Source organism: Homo sapiens, chromosome 21 (assembly GCF_000001405.40).
Source record: "Homo sapiens chromosome 21, GRCh38.p14 Primary Assembly".
Classification (NCBI taxonomy): Eukaryota; Metazoa; Chordata; class Mammalia; order Primates; family Hominidae; genus Homo; species Homo sapiens.
The window spans coordinates 41,829,013-41,847,952 of record NC_000021.9 but is presented as its reverse complement, the minus strand read 5'-3'; the positions used below and the strand labels follow the sequence as shown (position 1 = coordinate 41,847,952).

At 50.2% G+C, this 18,940-nt stretch overlaps 1 protein-coding gene across 25 annotated transcripts in view, besides 3 other annotated features; it reads left to right on the top strand.

Moving 5' to 3' along the window:
* PRDM15 (PR/SET domain 15) overlaps positions 1-18,940 on the top strand; it is an 81,120-nt gene that overhangs the window by 31,392 nt on the left and 30,788 nt on the right. For 11 of the 25 annotated variants that reach the window (NR_104257.2, XR_007067792.1, XM_047440937.1 and 8 more), the window contains exons 6-12: positions 762-863; positions 8,100-8,330; positions 9,890-10,019; positions 11,304-11,485; positions 11,746-11,840; positions 12,429-12,516; positions 13,389-13,448. Coding sequence is in view for 20 of the 25 variants with exons in the window: in XM_047440937.1 (XP_047296893.1) it covers positions 762-863; positions 8,100-8,330; positions 9,890-10,019; positions 11,304-11,485; positions 11,746-11,840; positions 12,429-12,516; positions 13,389-13,448 (888 nt within the window). In the remaining 5 variants the exon portion in view is untranslated. The remainder of the gene's footprint in view (positions 1-761; positions 864-8,099; positions 8,331-9,889; positions 10,020-11,303; positions 11,486-11,745; positions 11,841-12,428; positions 12,517-13,388; positions 13,449-18,940) is intronic. The other 14 variants (NR_135464.2, NR_104260.1, XM_047440939.1 and 11 more) reach the window with 4 other exon arrangements.
* Positions 10,982-11,689: an enhancer, noted in NCBI's record as "H3K27ac-H3K4me1 hESC enhancer chr21:43256373-43257080 (GRCh37/hg19 assembly coordinates)". NCBI's record gives its function as "activates a minimal SCP1, AML or CMV promoter by ChIP-STARR-seq in naive H9 embryonic stem cells {active_cell/tissue: H9 hESC(naive)}" and the evidence as "EXISTENCE:reporter gene assay evidence [ECO:0000049][PMID:30033119]".
* Positions 13,505-13,624: an enhancer, noted in NCBI's record as "active region_18487". NCBI's record gives its function as "activates an Ori minimal core promoter by ATAC-STARR-seq in GM12878 lymphoblastoid cells {active_cell/tissue: GM12878}" and the evidence as "EXISTENCE:reporter gene assay evidence [ECO:0000049][PMID:35858748]".
* Positions 14,405-14,474: an enhancer, noted in NCBI's record as "active region_18486". NCBI's record gives its function as "activates an Ori minimal core promoter by ATAC-STARR-seq in GM12878 lymphoblastoid cells {active_cell/tissue: GM12878}" and the evidence as "EXISTENCE:reporter gene assay evidence [ECO:0000049][PMID:35858748]".

The window sequence follows — 18,940 nt, the reverse complement described above, 5'->3', positions numbered from 1 at the left end:
CAGTGACTTTTTTGTTAAAAGGTGCCTGTAGTTCTCTTTATAGCCAGGCTTACACCGCATGCCATGTACCCCCAGCTTAGCTCTCCCTCCCCAGATTCCTGTGTGGCATGGACTGAGGGATAGAGGTGCTTCCTGGGATAGCGGCCCCCTACCTCAGGTGCCTATTTAAAATTAAGTTCAAACTTAGTAAAATTAAACACTTATTTCCTGGAACATGAGCCACATCTGGTTAGTGGCTGCCTTGCTGGATACCAGCTGTGGAGCACGTCAGTCATCCACAGAAAGCTCTGCCGGATAGCGCTGGGCGGGAGCAGCAGCCCAGCCACACACGGGGGCGCCACTGGCTGGCCGTTTGGGGTTCCACTGTCTCTTATTCTATGAGCCAGTGAGAGATGAGGAATTACACTTGGTTCTTGAGGAATGCACTTTTCTCATGAAGTCATATAAGGGATGAGCCTGGTCCCTCTGGACTGGCTTCTTGGAGGAGTTCTCAGCTCTGTGACTGGTGACCCTGCAGCAGGCGTGTCTCTGTGCTCAGTTGCCTCATCTGTGAAAAGGGGACAGTCACACGACCGTATCAGCCATGTGTGTAAAGCTCTGAAAATGGTGTCTGTCATGTGGAGTGACCACAGGCCCGTCTGCTGCCGTCATCACTGTCATCACCGCCTCTCAGCACACACCCCTCCTCCGCTGCGCCGGGATTCATGGAGACATATGAGCTGCTTGGGGGTCACCTTTTTCTCCTCTCATGTCTTTTGAAGCTGCAGGCACCCCAGAAAACAGCGCCCCCGTGGAGTCGGAGCCCAGCCAGTGGGCGTGTAAAGTGTGTTCTGCCACCTTCCTGGAGCTGCAGCTCCTCAATGGTAAGGAGGACGTGTGGGGAGCCCCAGTTGTAAAACTCCTGTGTCGATTTCTCTCTGACTTACGCTGTCACCTGTCTGCGGCTGTCGGGATGTCCCAGACTTTGTCCTGTCTGCCCCATTGCCCCACAATGTAGTCGCCAGAACCAAGGCTTTCTCAGGGTTTAAAGCTTCTGGGCAGTCCCGCTTCCCACCCCCGACCCCTGCAGGCCTCACTCCTCACTCCTCCTGGTTGGGAAGTTGCATTTCAGCTGGGCGCCTTGACTCTGGAGCACTGGCAGGGGCCAGGGGCCAGGAGCCAGCCGTGGCATGTGTTGTGCACTCTTGCCTTTGTTGTCTCTACTTGACAGCCCCTTCCATTGTTTCTTTATCTGACAGACACTGTTTTCTTTTTTTGAGACAAGGTCTGGCTCTGTTGTCCAGGCTGGAGTGCAGTGGCATGATCGTGGCTCACTGCAGCCTTGACCTGACAGGCTCAAGCGATCCTCCCACCTCAGCCTCCTGAGTAGCTGGGACCACAGACATGTGCCACCACGCCCAGCAAACTTCTGTATATTTATTGTAGAGACAGGGTTTCACCCAGGCTGGCTCAGACTGCTGGGCTCAAGCGGTCCGTCTGCCTCGGCCTCCCAAAGTACTGGGTTTACAGGCGTGAGCCACCGTGCCCAGCCTGCAGAACATTTTTATCTACTCAGGTTGAGATTCCAATTTAAGGTGGCCGGGAGAGAATTGAACACATTTCCAGCTTCTGCAGTGCTCTGGGAACTTTCTGTTTATTTCTCTTAGGGAGCTGATTTTTCCACAAGTCTTAGGAGGCTAATCTGTAGTGAAGAAAGACTCGCATCAAATAAACCATGGGGGAATCACGTAGAAACAGTTTGTGGCATTCGTCACATGTGGAACGTGCTCAGAGGCCCCAGGCCTGGTGGGGTTCCAGGCAGTGCAGTTGTGAGGAGTGACTGGGACAGCCACTGTGCTGACACCAGCAGACTTTAGCTACCTGGTCACACGTTCCTGAGACATCCTACTCATCTTGGCTTTAATGAATTTACGAATGTGTCATTTCGCCCTCTGCTTGGTGAGAAGTATTTTGTGTTTGTCACCAAGACATAAATAGCAGAGCAGGGCAGCTGGGTTTTCTAGAAACGCCGCGTTTGTGCAGAGCACGCCCCGGACCTCATGGAGACCCATGGTAGGTGCTTCACAGTGGGAGGGTGCTGCTTGCGCCAGGTGGTCCCCTCCACAAAGCCAGACAGACGTTGCTGCTCATTTGTGTTTCTTCTTAATAACTAGTTTTGAGTGAAGAAAAAAGAAATTCCTTCATATTTTCAGTGAAATTCTACTTGTATGTCATCAACTACGTAAGACGTGGTACTCGGGCTCCCCTTACAATTAGGCTGATGGTGACTAAGACCCTTCAGTGCCAGGTCCTCCAGAAACTTCCTTGAGTCAACACCATGAGGTACAACCGTGGCTCCATTTCAGGGATGAGTAAACAGAGGCAGGAGTCCCTGCCCACAGCACGGCAGCCTTGAGGGCTGGAGCCAGGTACTCGGGCAGCCCGGCCTCTGCCACCCAGATTACCGGAGGGGTCCTGAGCATTCCTTCCAGGTGACGGCTCTGCCTTCTGCGGCAGCCTCTCGCTGGGGGGCTTCTTGGGAACATCCATGGCTCAGGAGCCTAGAAGTGGAAAGCAGAGCCCAGGAAGGAGACTGAGGAGCAGCCCCAAAGGCCGGCCTGTGAACGGGGAGGGGCTGTGTGTCCCTGTGAGGGGGAGGGGCTGTGTGTCCCTGTGAGGGGGAGGGGCTGTGTGTCCCTGCGAGGGGGGAGGGGCTGTGTGTGTCCCTGTGAGGGGGGAGGGGCTGTGTGTCCCTGTGAGGGGGGAGGGGCTGTGTGTCCCTGTGAGGGGGGAGGGGCTGTGTGTGTCCCTGTGAGGGGGGGAGGGGCTGTGTGTGTGTGTCCCTGTGAGGGGGGAGGGGCTGTGTGTGTGTGTCCCTGTGAGGGGGGAGGGGCTGTGTGTCCCTGTGAGGGGGAGGGGCTGTGTGTCCCTGCGAGGGGGGAGGGGCTGTGTGTGTCCCTGTGAGGGGGGAGGGGCTGTGTGTCCCTGTGAGGGGGGAGGGGCTGTGTGTGTCCCTGTGAGGGGGGAGGGGCTGTGTGTCCCTGTGTGGGGGGAGAGGCTGTGTGTGTCCCTGTGAGGGGGAGGGGCTGTGTGTGTCCTTGTGAGGGGGAGGGGCTGTGTGTCCCTGTGAGGGGGGAGGGGCTGTGTGTGTCCCTGTGAGGGGGGAGGGACTGTGTGTGTCCCTGTGAGGGGGGAGGGACTGTGTGTGTCCCTGTGAGGGGGAAGGGACTCTGTGTGTGTGTGTGTGTGTGTGTGTGTGTGTGTCCCTGTGATGGAGGAGGGGCTGTGTGTGTCCCTGTGAGGGGGGAGGGACTGTGTATGTGTGTCTCTGTGAGGGGGGAGGGGCTGTGTGTCCCTGTGAGGGGGAGGGGCTGTATGTGTCCCTGTGAGGGGGGAGGGGCTGTGTGTGTGTGTGTGTGTGTGTGTGTGTGTCCCTGTGAGGGGGGAGGGGCTGTGTGTGTCCCTGTGAGGGGGGAGGGACTGTGTGTGTGTCCCTGTGAGGGGGGAGGGGCTCTGTGTGTGTGTGTGTGTGTGTGTGTGTGTGTGTGTGTGTGTGTGTCCCTGTGAGGGGGGAGGGGCTGTGTCACCTCCCTGAGATAGGAGGGACTGTGTTTCTCTTTTTTGGGCTGAGGGGTTGTGTGTTCTCTTGAGGGCGGAGGTGCCACATGCCACTTTGGATATCCTCAGCGGACTGGCACTGAGCGCTGTCCCAGAGCCACATGACAGACGGGTTCTGCACAAGCCTTCAGAGAAGGGACTTCACTTGGCTCTTTCAGTGCTGCTGTTCTAATGAGGCAAACGGTGTCCATTTGTCTCATTTCCTCTCTGATCTCAAGGGATGTGAAGCTGCCTTTTGTGAGTTGGTGTAGGAAGTGTTGGAAGGGCTATTGAAGAGGTTTTGTAGTTTTAGAATCAAATTTGACAGATTTTTGCTTCTTCTTTCAAGTTGGGTAACTTCCAAACCAAACCACCAGTGCTCTGAATTTAAACTTTCTTTCTTTCTTTTTTTTTTTTTTTTTTTTTACAATACAAGGTCTTGCCCTGTCACCCAGGCAGGAATGCGATGGTGTGATCTTAGCTCATTGCAGCCTCAAACTCATGGGCTCAAATGATCCTCTCATTTTGACCTCCCAAGTAGCTGGAACTACAGGTGAATGTCAACAGGTCTAATTGTACAGACAGGGTCTTGCTCTGTTGCTCAGGATTCCATAACAAGGCTGTCCCAGACAGGCCCACATGGCAGGGACATTGCCACCCATACTGACGGTGGCCTCAGGGCCAAACTTGTGCTGTCTCTGAAAGCCCAATGCCTTCACCATGCCAGAAAATGTGTTCTCAGGCCCCCTGCAGCCTCACATTGCTCACAGAGCTATGGCACAAACCTGCATTCAGGGCAGGAGAGTTTGGGAAAGGAGTGTTTTGGGAAAGGTGGGGCTCAGAAGTTGGCGAAACATCACAAGGATGTTTCACAGTGCTGGATGGCCAGAAAAGATGGCACATGTCCTCTGCGTGTAGGATACAATAGAGGATCCTTTGAGGGAAAGGAGCAAAGGGAATGCCCAGGTTGCTGTCGAAGGAGATTGTAGGACAAGAGACGTTCCCTAGTTCAAGGATAGATAACTGGTCCAGATTGGAGCAGCAGCAAGGGCTCCAGGAAGAATGGCCCAAAAAGGAAAAGAAATCGAGCATTAACTGATGTGTTTGTAGAGGAAAGAGTTATACTTCTGGCAGAGTTTAAGTCTCAATTAGTAATATAAACACGGGAAAAAAATAAGCAAATGTTATTAATAAAAAGTAAGGCATTAATTAACTCCAGAGAAAACAAAGGTTATAGATATACTTAAAACAAACAAACAAACAAAAAAACAAACAAAAAAACAAAAAAATCAGGCCAGACACGGTGGCTCACACCTGTAATGGCAGCACTTTGGGAGGCTGAGGCAGGTGGATCACCTGAGGTCAGGAGTTTGAGACCAGCCTGGCCATTATGGTGAAACCGCATCTCTACTAAAAATACAAAAATTAGCCAGGTGTGGTGGTGCATGCCTGTAGTCCCAGATACCTGGGAGGCTGAGACAGGAGAATGTCTTGAACCTGGGAAGCAAGGGTTGTAGTGAGCCGAGATTGCACCACTGCACTCCATCCTGGGCGACAGAGTGAGACTCCGTCTCAAAAAAAAAAAAAAGGCCAGGCGTAGTGGCTCATGGCTGTAATCCCAACACTTTGGGAGGCCGAGGCAGGCAGATCACGAGGTCAAGAGATCAAGACCATCCTGGCCAACATGGTGAAACCCTGTCTCTACTAAAAATACAAAAATTAGCTGGGCACGGTGGTGCACGCTTGTAGTCCCAGCTACTCAGGAGGCTGGGGCAGGAGAATCGCTTGAACCTGGGAGGCGGAGGTTATAGTGAGCCGAGATCGCACACTGCACTCCAGCCTGGCAACAGAGCGAGACTCCGTCTCAAAAACAAACAAACAAAAAAAGAATCATAAACATATATTGGTGCAGTTGTGAATACATTTTTATGGTCATAATTATGAATACACTGATTATTGATTTACCCCAAAATAGTGATATAAATATGTTGGTGAGATTGTGGAGAAGATAAGCATTTGGGAGGGAGAGTATAGTCTATAAGAAAGCTAAATCCTTCTCCTCCATGTTAAATAATAGATGCTATCTAATACTAAAAAATGGAAAGGTGATAATAGGTGGGGACGAGTGGTTACAGAGAGCTGCTGTTTTCTCTTTTGCAGCTAGGACTGGTTATTTCTGCATTCTCTATTTTTTCTTGCCAGACTTATCAATATCATTAGTCTTTTCAAAGCACCCACTTTTGGCTTTGTTGATCCTTTTTATTGTATATTTACTTTATTTCTGCTCTTATTTATTATTTGCTTTTTATACTTTTCATTCTGTGCCTTTCTAACAAGTTGGATGCTTAACTCATTACTTTCCAGCTGTTTTATTTTCTCATGTAAGCATTTCAGATGATTTTTTCTTAAGAACCATGTTAGCTGCATTCCACATTTTGATGATACAGTGCATCTGAGTTTATATGCACTTAATAACATAGTCTAATAATAAGCAAAAATTGGCAGATCTACGAGGAGAAATAGAAAAATCTGCCTCTGTAGTGGGAGCTTTTAATACATACATCTTAATTTATAAATCAGACTAAAAAATCACAGGGATACAGATTTGAAGCACACAGTTAACACAATTGATTTAATAAGTATATTTACAATGCCGCATCTAACAAGTAGAGTATATATACATCTCTTTGATGTGTGGGCTCTCTTCCTCCCATATTTTAGTTCTAAGTATTTTCTAATTTGCTCTGTTTTTCCTGTTTGAATTTGTAATTGTCTAGAATGATGTTTGCTAATTTCCTTATGTATGGCTTTTCTTTTTTTTTTAACTTTAGTTCCCTTTGTTTTATATTTCTGACCCTCAATCTAAAATCACTCTTATTGCCTTTCAGAATTTCCTCTGGGGCAATCTTTTCAGTCTTTGTCTCAAAATATCTTTCTTTAACCATCTGCACTGGAAACGGTTTTCACCGGATATTGAATTTTGGGTTTATTCTTATTCTCTTTCTGCACATTGGGGATGTTGTTATGCTACTTTATGCCTTCCATTATTATTCTTGGTAAGTCTGCTGTCACTGCAGTTGTTCCTTCATAGGTAATCACTGCTTTGTACTTGGTTGCTTTTGAAACCTCCTCTGTCTTTGGAATTCTGCAATTTATAACAGAGTCATCATTTATGTCTTTATTTTTATTTGTTTTCCCTGTTACAGATCTTGAATCTGAAGAGTCATGTCTTTCATTCATTCTGGATAATCCCCCACCCTTATCTTGCTCATTGTTTAGCCCTCCTTCCCTATTTTCTCTGTGTCCTATTGTACATGTTTTAGACCTTCTTGTTATATTACACTTCATGTCTTCTTAGCTCCTGCTCATATTTTTCTAGCTCCTTGTCTCTTTTCTACATTCTGGGTAATCTTTGCAGCTCTTCATTTTACTTTATGAGTTCTCTCTTCAGTTGTGTCTAATTTTTTGTTTAATACGACACATTGTGTTTTTATTTTGGGCCTCCTTTTTATTTTATATAAGTTTTATTTGGTTATTTTTCATAACCGCTTGTTATAATTCAGCATGCCCTTGCTTTTTTTTAATATGTGTTTTTTAACCCTTCTTTATTCATTTAAATGTATTTTCCCCCAGTTTTCTCCTCTCAGCTTGTGTTATTATCTAGGAATTCCATTCTTCTTGAGTTTGTGTGTATGTGTCTGCTGACGCCCTGATGGCTTATTGCTTAATTTTTTAGTTTTCTTGGGACTTTTCTTGCTTTTGTTGTTGTTGTTTTGGTAAGCTCTTTAGCAAGGAATCTTCTTTTCTCCCCTGCCCCTACAGTGGTCCTTCCATGCACTCTGGATTGTTACATAGTGTTTTGATTTTGCTTCTGCTACGTCTCCCAGAGCTTTCACAGGTCTAGGGTGCAATTCTTTTTTTTTTTTTTTTTTTTGAGACAGTCTTGCTCTGTCACCTGGTTGGAGTGCAGTGGTGCTATCTCAGTTCACTGCAAGCTCCGCCTCCCGGGTTCAAGCAGTTCTTCTGCCTCAGCCTCCCCAGTGGCTGGGACTACAGGCACACACCACCACACCCGGCTAACTTTTTGTATTTTTATTAGAGATGGGTTTTCACCATGTTTGCCAGGCTGGTCTTGAACTCCTGACCTCATGTGATCCACCTGCCTCAGCCTCCCAAAGTGCTGGGATTACAGGCATGAGCCACTGTGCCTGGACACATTCATATTTTGATATCTCCTTCTCAGGTTTTTGCTTTGCAGACATATGTGTGTGTGTATGTCTGCTTTTTTCACTAAACTGCCCTCATGGTGAACCTACCCTTGCTTTTACCACTTAATTTACTTTTCAAAATAGCAGTTGTGTTTGATGCAGAGGAAATAAAACAGTAGAAATAAAGTTCACTTGCCTATACAAAGGTTGGCAAACAAGATTGAAAACACACACACATAGGAACCAGAGGCCAGGGTGGGTGTGGACGGTGGCAGGCTTCCTAATTGTGTGGTGCATTCGCGTCTCTCTTTGCAGAACATCTGTTGGGCCACTTAGAACAAGCCAAAAGCCTTCCTCCAGGCAGCCAAAGCGAGGCAGCAGCTCCCGAGAAGGAGCAGGACACACCCCGGGGGGAACCCCCTGCAGTGCCCGAGAGCGAGAATGTTGCCACCAAAGAACAGAAGAAAAAGCCTCGAAGGGGGAGAAAACCCAAAGTGTCCAAAGCTGAGCAGCCTCTAGTCATCGTGGAAGACAAGGAACCCACAGGTGATGAGCGGGTCCCGGGGATGAGTGCCTGCGTGGGGCGCAGCCCTCCTGGCGCCCGAGGGCTGGCGGGGCAGGGGGCAGAGGGCGGGGCGGGAAAACTCAGTGTAGAAAGGCCTCGTGGAAGGTAGACTCTAAGCCCGTCTGTTTTTCTCTCAATCAACTCTAGTAAAGTACAATTTCCATGTAATACATGTCACACTAAAAAGGATACAGGGTGTGAATTTTGACAAATGGATACAGCTGTGAAACCAGCACCCCCGTCAGGGTAGAGGACATTTCTGTCTCGTTAGCCACTTTCCTGACTGTCTTCTGTACGAGTTCATTCCACCCATCCTGGAATTTCTCACGAATGGACTCTGTCTGCCTCCTTCAGGCAGCTTACAGCCTCGAGACCCGCCCACGTGGTTTATCTGTGGCTCCTTCTCCTGGATTGCTGAACAGTGCTTGGTCCATCACCTGTGGGTGGGCACTGAGTTGCTCCCAGGACCTGTCTAGGGCTCATCCTTTGATTGTGCAGTATCCTCAGTTGGGTTTGAAGAGGCATTTGACCCTCTTCCAGGGTGTGTGGTCTCTGTAAGGCTCTTGTCCCTGTGGTCCTCACACAGCCCCCATCCAAGCCACCTGCAGCACACGCCTCGTGGGCCTCACAGTGAGGATGAGATCTGATGCTCAGCCACTGGCCCCTTCACATTTGTTACTGACACTGGGCAGTTTTTCTTTTTACTGTCTGGGATACACCAGGATTTCTTTTATGAGAGTGAAAAGGAGTCCTTATTGCTTCTATTAATTAGAGACAATTGGGAAGAGCAGCCATTGTGGAATATTCTGAGCCTCCCCTTTTCTGCTGTGGGTCTGCAGCTTCTAGGCTGTGCACTGTTGGGCGCTGATTTAGGAGCGCCTGAAAGCCCCCTGGCCAGTTTCCCCAGGTCTCTGTGAATAGGCAGAGAAGATGGGGGCGGGGGAAAGCGTGTCAGGTAGATATTTCACTAATTCTTACTTGTGTTGAGAAGACATTTAGTAGGCAAAGTGGTAGAAACCAGTGGTTGAATTTTTTTGTGTAATCTTCCCCTATTTCATTTATCTTGGGTTTCTGGCCAGGGTCTCCAGTATTGGCGATGATGTGATCTTTAACTCTTATACAAAATGGTTAGCTAAAATGGTTTTACTAATGTTGGCACATTTAATTAGAAACATTAACATTTCTAAAACTCTGTCAGAATTGATGTAGTAAGTTCGAAGTTTCTGCTATATATCCAAAATGTTTTTGGTTGGTATGAAGAGGGATTGAAGTAATGTTATGATGTTGTGGTTTTTAAAAAGAATAACAAATTATAACTTCAGTTTAGGCTAAGAAAAACATTTTGCTTTTCTGTTTGTACTAGTAAATGTGTGGATCCCAAAATATTGACAGTTTTTTTTTTCCCCTCTGTAAACCTCAACATTTGTGCCTACCATTCTGGCCTGGCTGTGGTTCCCATGGGGCAGTGTGTCACCATGGTTTGACTGTGTTTGTCCCCTGCTCTTGTGGTTACTTAGCTTGTCACATCCCCTTCGTACAGAGCAAGTGGCAGAGATCATTACCGAGGTCCCTCCGGATGAGCCTGTGAGTGCAACGCCAGATGAGCGGATCATGGAGCTGGTTCTGGGGAAGCTGGCCACCACCACCACTGACACCAGCTCGGTTCCAAAGTAAGTCCTGCCTGGCACCTGGGGCCGTCCTGTGGACAGACAATGCTGGCAGCAGCCAGGCCATTCTGGAGGGAAGGCACCTTCCCAGCAGGAAAGCCCCAGGGAAGGAGATGGAAACAGACCTGCTGAGGAGGCAGCAGGAATGTTCTGGAGCTCAGGAATGTTCTGGAGCTCAGGAGTTTAATGGTGCATCCACTGTGAAAACAGCTTTAGAAAAATGCTTTATTTTGGTTAAATATGCATAAATTTAACCATTTTAACCATGTTTAAGTGCACAATTTAGTGGCATTCAGGATGTTCACACTGTTGGGCAATCATCTCCCCCATCCATCTGTGGAACTTTCCCGTCTTCCCAAGCTGAAACGCTGTCCGCACTAAGCACCCGCTCCAGCCCCCTCCCCCAGCCCCTGGCACCCACCATTCTACTTTCTGTCTCTGTGGATTTGATGACTCTAGAGATGTCTTATAAGTGGAATCAGACAGGATTTGTCCTTATGTGACTGGCTTATTCTACCCCGGCTCATCCATGTGTAGCCTGTGTCAGAATTTCCTTCAACACTGAGTAATATACCATCATGCATATGCCCCATATTTTGTGTTTCCATGCATCCATTGATGGACAGTTGGGTTGCTTCTAGCTTTCGTGACGCTGCTGTGGTAAAATACTTTGCTATTTGAATTTCAGTAAATATAACAGCTTGCCCTGTGTTTTAGTTACGATTCTTGGGTCATTTTTACCATGGAGTTGAGTAAGTTGGTGGTCACTTCTTTTTGGCCCTTTTCGGATCACCTCTTATAGTTGGCAAAAGTAATATCAGAAATGATGTTACCTGTTTATTTATTTATACTTTATCTTATTGCCCAGAAGAGTTCAGGTGGCTTACCATCAAAAATACATTTAACAGGGAAAAGAAGTTTTGAAAATCAGGTTCAGATAATATGTAAAACAGAGAAGAGTTAAGACAGAGTGACAGGAGCAGAAAACAGGTGTGGTTATTCTAATTGAGGCACAAATTGACCTCCAGGCTTTCTGGTGGCCAGAGTTAGAACAGAGTCAGGTGTGTGGCTGTTGCAGCTAAAGCTGCCTAATGTCATTATATATTCAAGGTGTCCCTTTCAGATGCCCTGGAAGCTGGGAGTGACGCCCGGGCGCATTCCCTCCTTTCTCGCATACAGGCTCGGGATTAGCTGGGAAGTTTTGGAAGGAGGCCGTTTTCATGCTGCTTGTAACCTGGAACTTTTTTCCCACCTGTCTTTTCCCAACTTATTGACGTCCCTGGGCAGGTTCACCCATCATCAGAATAACACCATCACGCTCAAGAGGAGCTTAATTCTCTCAAGCAGACACGGCATCCGGCGCAAGCTCATCAAACAGCTCGGGGAGCACAAGCGGGTTTACCAGTGCAATATCTGCAGCAAGATCTTCCAGAACAGCAGCAACCTGAGCAGGCACGTGCGCTCGCATGGTGAGTCCGCGAGGCCCGGCTGGCGCCCGGGGCCAGGGCCAGGACTGGGGCTGGGGGTGGGAGGACAGCACGGAGTCTCCCCTCCTTGGGTCGTCTCCCACGAGCTGCGCCAGTGAGAGGCTGCATTTGTGGGCGATCATCTCTGCAGCTCCTTCGCATGGTGGGAGCGAGGCGGCTTGTGGGGCATTTCCCCGGTGGGCATGCTTCTCTCGGTAAATGCTCTAAGTAGTGAATGAGCTCTCTGTTGGTTGGTTCCTCAGGTGACAAGCTGTTTAAGTGCGAAGAGTGTGCAAAATTGTTCAGCCGCAAAGAGAGCCTAAAGCAGCACGTTTCCTACAAGCACAGCAGGAACGAGGTGGGTGGAAACAAGCCCAGGGTTCTCTTCCCAGTTGTGTGGACAACACAGACAACTGACCAAATCACCATGTTGTAATGAGAAGAAAGAATCCCAGGAGGGAGGAGAGTGGGCGGGGGCTGTGGGGGAGGGAGGAGAGTGGGCGGGGGCTGTGGGGGAGGGAGGAGAGCGGCCAAACCCTGTGGGGGAGGGAGGAGAGTGGGCGAGGGCTGTGGGTGCCCAGGTGTCCCTGAGAAGGGAGAGTCCCAGGAGGGATGAGAGCGGGTGAAGGCTGTGGGTGTCCTGGCGTCCCTGGGCCACCTGTCAGCCCCTCGTCCTGGTCAGATGCCCACAAGCGCAGCAGGAAGAGTCAGGAGAATGGGGGTGTTTGGTGCTTGGAGTGGGGCTCCCTGAGTGTGGAGTTCCCTTTCTAGGGCAGGTGAACAGCAAGAGCAAACATCCTTTGTGTTCCTAAATAGAGCGGGAGGGTGGTGGAGGTCAGAGTCATAACAGACACAGGCGTGGAGTCGCCCGGGCAGCACGTCGGGGGCTCGGCATCTGTGGACTCTGCGCTGGGCCATCTCACTCACGGCGTGTCCCTCTGACCAGGTGGACGGCGAGTACAGGTACCGCTGCGGCACTTGTGAGAAGACCTTCCGCATCGAGAGCGCGCTGGAGTTCCACAACTGCAGGACAGGTGAGGGCGCCGGTCACGTCTCCCCTCGGCCGCTGTGCGGTACGGATTCTAGATACGCCGCGGAGACCGTGGAACTTTAGGCCAAAGTAAAGATTGTTTTCATGAATAGACAGCCTCACTTTTAACATTTCCCTCTGTCCATTTTGCTTCAAAGCAGTTGTTACCCTAAAGATACACAGATGGAAACTTTCCAGTAAAAAGGGATTGATTTTCTTCCTGCATTTGTCAGCCGAGCTGCGTATGGCCCCACACTGAGAGCATTGTAAAGCCGGGGTCCGTTCTGGCTAAAAACAGGGAGCAGCAGTGTCCAATGTTTTCTAGGGCCGTCTGAGGAAGAAAGGAAAAGATCAGGATAATGGCTGGAGGAGTGTGAGCGCTCCTCGCTTGCTTGCAAAGGTTGTTCCTAACCGCGAGCCCTCCTCCATCCACATCTCCTGCGGCGTCCAGGGTGGAACGGGGTTGCCCCTGCACGCATTCTTTTTGTTCTGAGCCTGCTTGTGTGCACCAGCTTCCAAAAATAAAGCATTTTCCTTGTGTGAGGCCTGAAGCCGGGTGTGCCTGGACCAGCCTGTAGTGGAGAGGTGGCCTCTTCGGGCCTGGGGGGCGTCTGAGGCCCCTGTCTCTCTGGCCGAATTTGCTGCTGGCAAGTAAACAGACCAAAGGAAAGCCAAGGCCGTCCTGCCGGCTGCGCTTCTCCACGTGGCCCGAGGACGCCCCTGTATTCTGCAGTGATGACGTGCACCCTCTGGGATGTGGGAGTCACACCTTCCCCATTCCCAGTGGTGGGTGGCACTGGAGGCCCAAGCAGTGGGGGTCCCCAGCGGGGCACAGAGGGGTGAGTCACTGTTGCCTTTGTGTCCCCCTCTCTCTAGGACTCATAGCACACCCTGGAGAGGGGGGGCCCGGCGGCAGTCGGCTTAGAGACCTACCAGGTTAGCCTTCGACGCCCACCCCGTCCTTGTCCGCCTGCTCTGTGTCTGTCACTTGCATCTCTGTGTTGTTCTTGTTAAGGTGCCACCCGCCCCTGTGTTGAGAACAGGGCACCTGCAGCAGCGGACTCCCAGGGGCTCTGACCAGGGCTGTCGCACATGGGCCATGTGAGAGGCCCTGCTCCCTTGCCGTAGCTGCTGGGCGCGGGGGGCCCTTGGTGGGGTTGGCTAGTTCTACTCTGAGGGCTCCTATTTGAAACCAGGGTTTGGTTCTTCCTCCCTGATGCCTTCTTCCTGGGGTTGGACTGTTCTGAGGGGCAGGAATGAGTCATGTTTTGCCTAAGCTTTAGCAGCTCTGAAGGATCCATGTCTGGCATGAGGTGGCCTCCAGAAGCTTCTGGATGAATTTCCAGTGTGCCGCACCTCCTGCATTTTAAGCCCTCCTATCACAAGAATTCCCAAGAAACCTGGGGCACAGTCCCCTGAAGACTTCCACTTAACGCAGCCCCGGCCAGACAGATGAACCTTCATCTTGTTTGCGAACCTCCCCTTGGGGTCCCCGCAGTCCTGCAGGAGTGTAGCAGGCGAGGGTTTCGGGGTTCCCAAGAGTGATGCTACCAGCTAAGGCGCTCTGGTGAGGCAGACTCAAGGTTGAGGAAGAGGCATTGCCCTCTGATATTTTCAACTATTTCTCTGGACCCAAATAAAACAAAGTACTAGAAGCGGCTAAGGCAGCAGCAGCTTCCTGTCAGCCAGAGGTGCTGTTAGGCCAGGTGCTGGCCTTTGTTAGTCACCTAGAACCCGCAGAGCGCCAGGGACCTGCATCGCACCACCTCTTCCCCTGAGATGTTCTAGTTTCAAAGGTTACCCGTTTTAGACTGAACAGAAAGGATAAAAACCTTGAAATGGAGCTTGTTTGCATAATATATGATTTGCATGCTCTTATACTTATTTATAGTATTGAAGTTAAGAGAATGTGTATCTTCCTTAGACAATTAAACCAAGAATTTGTACCAAGAATTAAACCAAGAATGTGGGAGTCACGCCTTCCCCATTCCCAGTGGTGGGTGGCACTGGAGGCCCAAGCAGTGGGGGTCCCCAGCGGGGCACAGAGGGATGGGTCACTGTTGCCTTTGTGTCACCCTCTCTCGAGGACTCATAGCACACCCTGGAGAGGGGTGTGGGGGGCAGTTTTAAAATGTTACAGTCTTGTGGGTTTTTCTGAAGCTCCCTCCATGGGACCTGTTGTGGTGCCTGTCCCTTGTGGTGTGACCAGGTGCTGGTGTAACTCATCTTCGTGTTCCTTGTGCTGTGTCTGACCATAAGTACTGTGCTACGGAATAGCAAAGGCTCACGTCCAGGCCCTCAGGCAAAATGCGGCCCACCAGCCTCCCCCAATAATCCCCTCTCCATCCCCAGGTGCCCTGCACCCCTCTCCCTTCGTCAGACCCCAGTAGGCAGCTGTTCTCAGTGGCTCATTTATTCAGACATAAACCTAGATCCCCTCGGCGCAGGGTTATTGGAGGGAGAAGCATTGTTGGGACCCAGTGCCCCTGTGGGTTCCTGAACTGGCAGTGAGTGGGTGGCTGCGGGAGAAGCCACCCTCGGCTTGGCAGAGTTGTCCGGGACAGCTGGGGAGTGGCCTGAAGTAGGTTCTCTTTCCATGGTCACGAGGGGCTTGTGAGGGAGAAAGCTGAAGCTCTTGGCAGCACCATTGCCTTCCACGGGGCGGCAGGACTAGTGGAGCCACCTGCCCAGGAGGGGGTGCTCATGGGTGCTGATTTGCACCTGCCTGGGAGGGGGGCTCACTTGTATTGGTTGGTACCTGCCTGGGAAGGAGGCTCACCTGTGCTCTTTAGCACCTGCCCGGGAGGGAGGCTCACCTGTGCTCTTTAGTGCCTGGCTGGGAGGGAGGCTCACCTATGCTGTTCAGGAGGCCCAGGTTGAGGGGAGTGTGGCAATCCAATGCCACAGCACTGTAAAGGTGTGGCCTATGGTGATCCGTTGCCACAGCACTGTAAAGGTGTGGCCTGTGGTGATCTGATGCCACAGTGCTGTAAGGTGTGGCCTGTGGTGATCCGATGCCACAGCGCTGTAAGGTGTGGCCTCTGGTGATCTGATGCCACAGTGCTGTAAAGGTGTGGCCTGTGGTGATCCGATGCCACAGTGCTGTAAGGTGTGGCCTGTGGCAATCTGATGCCACAGCGCTGTAAGGTGTGGCCTTTCACAAAGCGCTTGGCTCTAGTGGTCCCATTCCTAAGAATTCATGATAAAGAGATTTGACAGAAGAAAAAAATCTGCATTACTAAAGATTCCATCACTAAATTATCTACAGTGTCAAAAATAGCAAAGTGAGTTTTGAGAAGTGAGCTGGATGGAATATCACGTAGCCATTAAAGTGATCATGAAAACGTCCAGCACTGTAAACACGCACGCCTCAGACGCAGTGTGTGAAGGACACATACCATGCGGTCGTGTGGATCCGGACAGAGCCCATCAAATCTTAAGCCAAAACGAAACTGAGGGCAGTGGCTGTATGGATAATGTTTCACTTTATAGAAGGAAGGCAAGCAGTATGTTAGGCTGGGACTCAGCGTAGCATCTGTCACGGTGCTCCTCTTATGGCCCAGGTGAGGCTGGCTCTGGGCTGAGGTCACGCTGCAGGTGGGGTGGGATGTGGGCAGAGAAGCCTCGCACAGGGCCACCTCTACTGTGTTCAGCCCTGGCAGAGGCCACCTCCCACTGTCCTGCCGTGGTTGGAGCTGTGGGAGGGGACTGTCCCCTCCCAGCGCTTCCCCTGTCCTGAGGGTGGCACCCATGGGGCATAGATTTCCCCACTGCTGTCTCCTGTCTTCGCTGTCGGCCATGCCTTGTCCATTCCCAGCTGGGAGGAGTTGAGAGCGCCTGGCTCTCCCGGGGGAGGTTGTCTGCTTCCCTCACCCCCAACCTGGGCTGCACATTGGGATCACCTGAGTGAGGCCAGACACATGCGGAGGCCCAAGGCCCACCCCAGAGAGTCTCATTTTGTGAGCCCTGGCCAGTGAATCTCTACCTGGCGGGGGTGGAGAGTGGAGGGCGTTTGCCCCAAGGGACGCTGTCGGCAATGTCTGCAGACACCTTGGTGGGGAGGGGTGCTCCTGGCACCTACTGGGTGGAAGCCCGGTATCTGCTCAGCATCCCACGGTGCACAGGGTGGCCCACAACAAAGGATCTGGCCCAAAACGCTGAGGCAGGGAAACCCTAGACAGGGGGACCCTGAGACACTCTGTGGCGGCTCCCTCGGGCAGCAGAGAGGGACAGGCGCAGGGCGGCTGCTTTGCACAAATGGCAGCTTTCAGTGCAGTTTTGGGGATTTGTATATTTGGCAAACACTGAGCCTGGGAGCTGGTCCATGGGTGAGAGCCCAGGGGCCCAGAAGTGCAGTCTGCTCTGGTGCCCCGCTCCTGGGTCACCCAGCTGTCATGTCCTCCCACGTTGGCGACACAGGGAGGAGAATGCAGCTCTGCTGGGCCCCGGGGTCGCCGTCAACTGGTGAGACATCTGATGGATGGGGGCAGGGCGAGGGGACCTGGGGCTGCTGCTGCAGGGTGAGGGACTGGGCAGTGAGGACCCCCGAGGTGCCTGTGTGAGAGTCAGAGGGACAGATGGCACTGGGGGGCTGTCAGTGTCCTGGGCGGAGCCGAAACCACAGTTTGACTGGCTACCTTCCAGGAGGGGCTGGAGATGAGGTCTGGGATGCAGGGATATAGGTGTTTCTGGAAGCTTCATGGACTGTGTGTGGCTGTGTGTTTCTGTGGTGTGTGGATGTATTTGTGTGGTATGTGGATGTATTTGTGTGGTGTGTGTTTAGTATTTGTGTGGTGTGTGTGTTGAGTATTTCTGTGGTGTGTTTGTGTGTATGTGGTGTGTGTTGAATATGAGGTGTGTGGTGTGTGTGTTGAGTGTATTTGTGGTATGTGTGATTTGTGTGTATTCGTGTGTGGTGTGTATTTGGTGTGGYGTATTATGTGTGTGTGGTATGTGTTCAGTGTGTGTGTGGTGTATGTGTGTGGTATGTGTTCAGTGTGTATTTGGTGTGTGTGATATGTGATTGTGTATTTATGTGTGGTGTGTGTATTTGGTGTGCTGAGCGTATGTGTTTGTATGTTGTGTGTGTATTTGTGTGTGGGTTGTGTGTGGTGTATGTGTTGAGTATGTGTTGTGTGGGGCATGTATGTGGATGTGTGTGTTGAGTGTGTATTTGTGTGGGGGGTGTGTGTGTGGTGTGTKTTGAGTGTGTGGTGTGATTGTGGTTTGTGTTGAATGTGTGTATTTGTGTTGGGGGTATGTTGAATGTGTGTGTTGTGTGTGTATTTGTGTGGGGTGTGTGTTGAATGTGTATTTTTGTGTGTGGTGTGTGTTGAGTTTGTGGTGTATGTTGAGTATGTATGTGGTGTGTGTGTTGAATGTGTGGGTGTACGTTGTATGATTGTATATTTCTGTGGTGTGTTGAGTATGTGTGTTTGTGTAGTATGTGTTGAGTGTATGTTTATGTGGTGTGTGTTGACTGTGTATTTGTGTAGTATGTGATTGGGTATTTGGGGTGAGTGGTGTGTGTTGAATGTATATTTGTGTGTGGTGTGTGTTGAGTGTGTGTGTATGTGGTATGTGATAATGTATATGGTGTGTGTTGAATGTGTGTATGTGGGGTGTGTGTGGTGTATGTTGAGTGTATCTGTGTGGTGTGATTATATGTGTGTGGTGTGTTGAATGTGTGTGTATGTGGTATAGTGCATTTATGTGGGGCTCGTGTGTGTGGTATGAGTACATTTKTGTGGTGTGTGTATATTTGGGGTGTATGTGTGGTATGTGTTGAATGTATTTGTGGTGTGTATTGAGTGCAGGTGTATTTGTGTGGTGTGTGATAGTGTATGTGGTGTGTGTTGAATGTCTGTTTGTGGGTTGTGTATGTGGTGTATGTTGAGTGTATCTGTGTGGTGTGTGATTATATGTGTGTGATGTGTTGAATGTGTATGTGGTGTAATTGTGCATTTGTGTGGGGCTTGCATCTGTGGTGTGTTGAGTATTTGTGGCTTCTGTGTGTGGTGTTATTTGTGTATTGTGTGTGTAGTTTATGTTGAATATGTGTGTATTTGTGGTGTGTGTGATTGTGTATTTGTGGGGCATGTGTTTTTGTGTGGTGTGTTGAGTATATTATTTGTGTGGTATGTGATTGTGTATTTGTGTGGGGCATGTGTGTGTGTGTGATGTGTGTTGGGTGTGTATGTATTTGCATAGTGTGTGATGGTGTGTGTGACATGTATGTGTATGTGTGTGTGGTGTGTGTATGTGGTGTGTGTGATTGTGTATTTGTGTATTTGTGTGGGGCATGTGTGTGTGGTATGTTGAGTGTGGTGTGTGTGATTGTGTATTTCTGTGGGGCGTGTGTGTGTGGTGTGTGTATGGTGTGTGTGATTGTGCATTTGGGTGGGGCGTGTGTGTGTAGTGTGTATGTG